This window comes from Homo sapiens, chromosome X, assembly GCF_000001405.40.
Source record: "Homo sapiens chromosome X, GRCh38.p14 Primary Assembly".
Classification (NCBI taxonomy): Eukaryota; Metazoa; Chordata; class Mammalia; order Primates; family Hominidae; genus Homo; species Homo sapiens.
In genome coordinates, this window is record NC_000023.11 from 97,799,490 (window position 1) to 97,805,491 (window position 6,002).

The window sequence follows — 6,002 nt, forward strand, 5'->3', positions numbered from 1 at the left end:
TATAAATTACCTTGGGCAGTATGGCCATTTTCATGATATTGATTCTTCCTATCCATGAGCATGGAATGTTCTTCCATTTGTTTGTGTCCTCTTTTATTTCGTTGAGCAGTGGTTTGTAGTTCTCCTTGAAGAGGTCCTTCACATCCCTTGTAAATTGGATTCCTAGGTATTTTATTCTCTTTGAAGCAATTGTGAATGGGAGTTCACTCATGATTTGGCTCTCTGTTTGTCTGTTATTGGTGCATAGGAATGCTTGTGATTTTTGCACGTTGATTTTGTATCCTGAGACTTTGCTGAAGTTGCTTATCAGCTTAAGGAGATTTGGGGCTGAGATGATGGGGTTTTCTAAATATACAATCACGTCATCTGCAAACAGGGACAATTTGACTTCCTCTTTTCCTAATTGAATACCCTTTATTTCCTTCTCCTGCCTGATTGCCCCGGCCAGAAGTTCCAACACTATGTTGAATAGGAGTGGTGAGAGAGGGCATCCCTGTCTTGTGCCAGTTTTCAAAAGGAATGCTTCCAGTTTTTGCACATTCAGTATGATATTGGCTGTGGGTTTGTCATAAATAGCTCTTATTATTTTTAGATACATCCCATCAATACCTAGTTTATTGAGAGTTTTTAGCATGAAGGGCTGTTGAATTTTGTCAAAGGCCTTTTCTGCATCTGTTAAGTTAATCATGTGTTTTTTGTCTTTAGTTCTGTTCATATGCTGGATTACATTTATTGATTTGCGTATGTTGAACCAGCCTTGCATCCCACGGATGAAGCCAACTTGATCATGGTGGATAAGCTTTTTGATGTGCTGCTGGATTCAGTTTGCCAGTATTTTATGGAGGATTTTTGCATCGATGTTCATCAGGGATATTGGTCTAAAATTCTCTTTTTTTGTTGTGTCTCTGCCAGGGTTTGGTATCAAAATGATACTGGCATCATAAAATGAGTTAGGGAGGATTCCCTCTTTTTCTATTGATTGGAATAGTTTCAGAAGGAATGGTACCAGCTCCTCTTTGTACCTCTGGTAGAATTCAGCTGTGAATCTGTCTGGTCCTGGACTTTTTTTGGTTGGTAGGCTATTAATTATTGCCTCAATCTCAGAGCCTGTTATTGGTCTATTCAGGGATTCAACTTTTTCCTGGTTTAGTCTTGGGAGGGTGTATGTGTCCAGGAATTTATCCATTTCTTCTAGATTTTTTAATTTATTTGCGCAGAGGAGTTTATAGTATTCTCTGATGGTAGTTTGTATTTCTGTGGGATCATTGGTAATATTCCCTTTATCATTTTTTATTGCATCTATTTGATTCTTCTCTCTTTTCTTATTAGTCTTGCTAGTGGTCTATCAATTTTGCTGATCTTTTCAAAAAACCAGCTCCTGGATTCATTCATTTTTTGAAGGGTTTTTTGTGTCTCTATCTCCTTCAGTTCTGCTCTGATCTTAGTTATTTCTTGCCTTCTGCTAGCTTTTAAATGTGTTTGCTCTTGCTTCTCTAGTTCTTTTAATTGTGATGTTAGGGTGTCAATTTTAGATCTTTCCTGCTTTCTCTTGTGGGCATTTAGTGCTATAAATTTCCCTCTACACACTACTTTAAATGTGTCCCAGAGATTCTGGCATGTTGTGTCTTTGTTCTCATTGGTTTCAAAGAACATCTTTATTTCTGCCTTCATTTCGTTATGTACCCAGTAGTCATTCAGGAGCAGGTTGTTCCGTTTACACGTAGTTGAGCAGTTTTGAATGAGTTTCTTAATCCTGAGTTCTAGTTTGATTGCACTGTGGTCTGAGAGACTGTTTGTTATAATTTCCATTCTTTCACATTTGCTGAGGAGAGCTTTACTTCCAACTGTGTGGTCAATTTTGGAATCAGTGCGATGTGGTGCTGAGAAGAATGTATATTCTGTTGATTTGGGGTGGAGAGTTCTGTAGATGTCTATTAGGTCTGCTTGGTGCAGAGCTGAGTTCAAGTCCTGGCTATCCTTGTTAACTTTCTGTCTTGTTGATCTGTCTAATGTTGACAGTGGGGTGTTAAAGTCTCCCATTATTATTATGTGGGAGTCTAAATCTCTTTGCAGGTCTCCAAGGGCTTGCTTTATGAATCTGGGTGCTCCTGTATTGGGTGCATATATATTTAAGATAGTTAGCTCTTCTTGCTGAATTGATCCCTTTACCAGTATGTCATGGCCTTCTTTGTCTCTTTTGATTTTTGTTGGTTTAAAGTCTGTTTTATCAGACACTAGGATTGCAACCCCTGCTTTTTGTTGTTTTCCATTTGCTTGGTAGATCTTCTTCCATCCCTTTATTTTGAGCCTATGTGTGTCTCTGCATGTGAGATTGTTCTCCTGAATACAGCACACTGATGGGTCTTGACTCTTTATCCAATTTGCCAGTCTGTATCTTTTAATTGGAGCATTTAACCCATTTACATTTAAGGTTAATATTGTTATGTGTGAATTTGATCCTGTCATTATGATGTTAGCTGGTTATTTTGCTCGTTAGTTGATGCAATTTCTTCCTAGCATCGATGGTCTTTACAATTTGGCATGTTTTTGCAGTAGCTGGTACTGGTTGTTCCTTTCCACGTTTAGTGCTTCCTTCAGGAGCTCTTGTAAGGCAGGCCTGGTGGTGACACAATCTCTCAGCATTTGTTTGCCTGTAAAGTATTTTATTTCTCCTTCACTTATGAAGCTTAGTTTGGCTGGATATGAAATTCTGGGTTGAAAATTCTTTTCTTTAAGAATGTTGAATATTGGCCCCCACTCTCTTCTGGCTTGTAGAGTTTCTGCTGAGAGATGCACTGTTAGTCTGATGGGCTTCCCTTTGTGGGTAACCCGACCTTTCTCTCTGGCTGCCCTTAACATTTTTTCTTTCATTTCAACTTTGGTGAATCTGACAATTATGTGTCTTGGAGTTGATCTTCTCGAGGAGTATCTCTGTGGCATTCTCTGTATTTCCTGAATTTGAATGTTGGCCTGCCTTGCTAATTTGGGGAAGTTCTCCTGGATAATATCCTGAAGAGTGTTTTCCAACTTGGCTCCATTCTCCCCATTACTTTCAGGTACACCAATCTGACATGGATTTGGTCTTTTCACATAGTCCCATATTTCTTGGAGGATTTGTTCATTTCTTTTTACTCTTTTTTCTCTAAACTTCTCACTTCATTTCATTCATTTGATCTTCAATCACTGATACCCTTTCTTCCACTTGATCAAATTGGCTACTGAAGCTTGTGCATGCTTCACGTAGTTCTCGTGCCATGGTTTTTAGCTCCATCAGGTCATTTGAGGTCTTCTCTACACTGTTTATTCTAGTTAGCCATTGTCCAATCTTTTTTCAAGATTTTTAGCTTCTTTGCGATGGGTTCGAACATCCTCCTTTAGCTCGGAGAAGTTTGTTATTACCGATCGTCTGAAGACTTCTTCTCTCAACTCGTCAAAGTCTTTCTCTGTCTAGCTTTGTTCTGTTGCTGGCGAGGAGCTGCATTCCTTTGGAGAAGAGGTGCTCTGATTGTTAGAATTTTCACCTTTTCTGCTCTGGTTTCTCCCCATCTCTGTGGTTTTATCTACCTTTGGTCTTTGATTATGGTGACTTACAGATGTGGTTTTGGTGTGGATGTCCTTTCCGTTTGTTAGTTTTCCTTCTAACAGTCAGGACCCTCAGCTGCAGGTCTGTTGGAGTTTGTTGGAGGTCCACTCCAGACCCTGTTTGCCTGGGTATCACCAGCAGAGGCTGCAGAAGAGCAAATATTGCAGAACGGCAAATGTTGCTGCCTGATCCTTCCTCTGGAAGCTTTGTCTCAGAGGGGCACCTGGCTGTATGAGGTGTCAGTCGGCCCCTATTGGGAGGTGTCTCCCAGTTAGGCTACTCGGTGGTCAGGGCCCCACTTGAGGAGGCAGTCTGTCCATTCTCAGATCTCAAACTCCATGCTGGGAGACCCACTACTCTCTTCAAAGCTGTCAGACAGGGACGTTTAAGTCTGCAGAAGTTTCTGCTGCCTTTTGTTCAGCTATGCTCTGCCCCCAGAGGTGGAGTCTATAGAGGCAGGCAGGCCTCCTTGAGCTGCGGTGGGCTCCACCCAGTTCAAGCTTCCTGGCCACTTTGTTTACCTACTCAAGCCTCAGCAAATGGTGCATGCCCCTCCCCCAGCCTCACTGCCGCCTTGCAGTTTGATCTCAGACTGCTGTGCTAGCAGTGAGTGAGGCTCCGTGGGTGTGGGACCCTCGGAGCCAGGCACAGGATATAATCCACTGGTGTGTGGTTTGCTAAGACCATTGGAAAAGTGCAGTATTAGGGTGGGAGTGTCCCGATTTTCCAGGTACCGTCTGTCATGGTTTCCCTTGGCTAGGAAAGGGAATTCCCCCACCCCTTGTCTTCCTGGGTGAGGTGATGCCCCACCCTGCTCCATGGGCTGCACCCACTGTCTGACAAGCCCCAGTGAGGTGAACCTGGTACCTCAGTTGGAAATGCAGAAATCACCTGTCTTCTGTGTTGCTCATGCTGGGAGCTGTAGACTGGAGCTGTTCCTATTTGGCCATCTTGGAACCTCTCCCATTTGTTTTGTAGTCACTTTCTCATGATTTACCTTCCCTTGAGGCCTGTATTAGGCTGTTCTTGCATTGTGCTAAAGAAATACCTGAGACTGGGTAATTTATAAAGAAAAGAGATTTAATTGGCTCACCATTCTGCAGGCTGTACAAGCATGCACTGGCATCTGCTCAGCTTCTGGGGAGTTCTCAGGGAGCTTTTACTTATGGTGGAATGTGAAGGGAGAGTAGGCACATTACATGGTGAGAACAAGAGCAAGAGAAAGTATTGGGGAGGTGCCACACACTTTAAAAAAACCGGATCTCCCAAGAACTCACTCACTACTATGAGGACAGCACCAAGTCATGAGGGATCCACCCCCATGACCCAAACACCTCTCACTAGACCTCACCTCCAACATTGGGTGTTACATTTCAGTATGAGATTTTGGTTGGGACAAATATCCAAACTATATCAAAGCCCAACCCCCATTTCCTTTGTTAAAATTATATATAAGCCCCTGAGTCTACTTCTTTGAGTTTCACGTCTTTTCTGTGAACTCCCTTGTACATAAATATTAATGAAAATAGTACTCCTCTCCTTCTGTTAATTTGTCTTTTGTTAGTTTAATTCACAGCCCCCCAGGCTCAAGAAAATTTTTTTCTTCCATCTATTAGTATTTATTGAGCACTTCTTAGTTAGCACTTACTATACAGAGCTAAAAGCTCTTCATTCATTATCTCATTTTATCCTCACAATGACCTTCTGAAGTAGGTATTAAATACATATTTATTGAACTCTTACCAGGTGCTTCATGTATGTTCTAAAATTCTCACAATGACCCTGTAAAGTCATGATAATGATCAGTCCCATTTTAATGAGGGGATAATTTTGGCTCCAAAGCCAAAACTCTTTCTGCCTTGCTGTAATCCCAGTTTTACAAATGAGGAAACCGAGGTTTAAAAAGGAAAAAGTAACTTGCTCCAGACCACATGACTGGTAAGTGACAGAACTGGGATTTAGTTTGACTCTAGGGCACATGTCCTTAACCCTTAAGGTATACTGTCTCACAAAACAATGCGCTAACAATGTAAAAGAACAATAGAGCAATGTCATATGGCAGAGTGTGGCAATGATAAGTTTAGCAGAAGAATTTCCAGACATTGTCTTTTTTTCCAGGAGAAAGCTTGTAAAATGTGTATTGTTTTCAATTTCCTTGTACAGTGTATTTGCTTTTATACTTTGTTTTGAGGTTTGTTTTTTTGTCAAAATTAAAGGGCAACTAGTTCAACACCCAGACTCCTCAATGCTTTGGGCCAATTGTCTTGCTGCTCTGATGATACAGATATGCTCCATTTTCTTGTGTTCTATTTGCTGTTTTATCGATACAGTTATGGATAAAAGAAAGCTCTTTGCCCAGATGCATTCTTTGGCCTTAAATTGGCTTGACGGGTGGACACTACCTTTGGACAATTAACCG

General features: G+C 41.3%; 1 annotated feature.

Moving 5' to 3' along the window:
* Positions 3,707–4,207: an enhancer, noted in NCBI's record as "H3K4me1 hESC enhancer chrX:97058194-97058694 (GRCh37/hg19 assembly coordinates)". NCBI's record gives its function as "activates a minimal SCP1, AML or CMV promoter by ChIP-STARR-seq in naive H9 embryonic stem cells {active_cell/tissue: H9 hESC(naive)}" and the evidence as "EXISTENCE:reporter gene assay evidence [ECO:0000049][PMID:30033119]".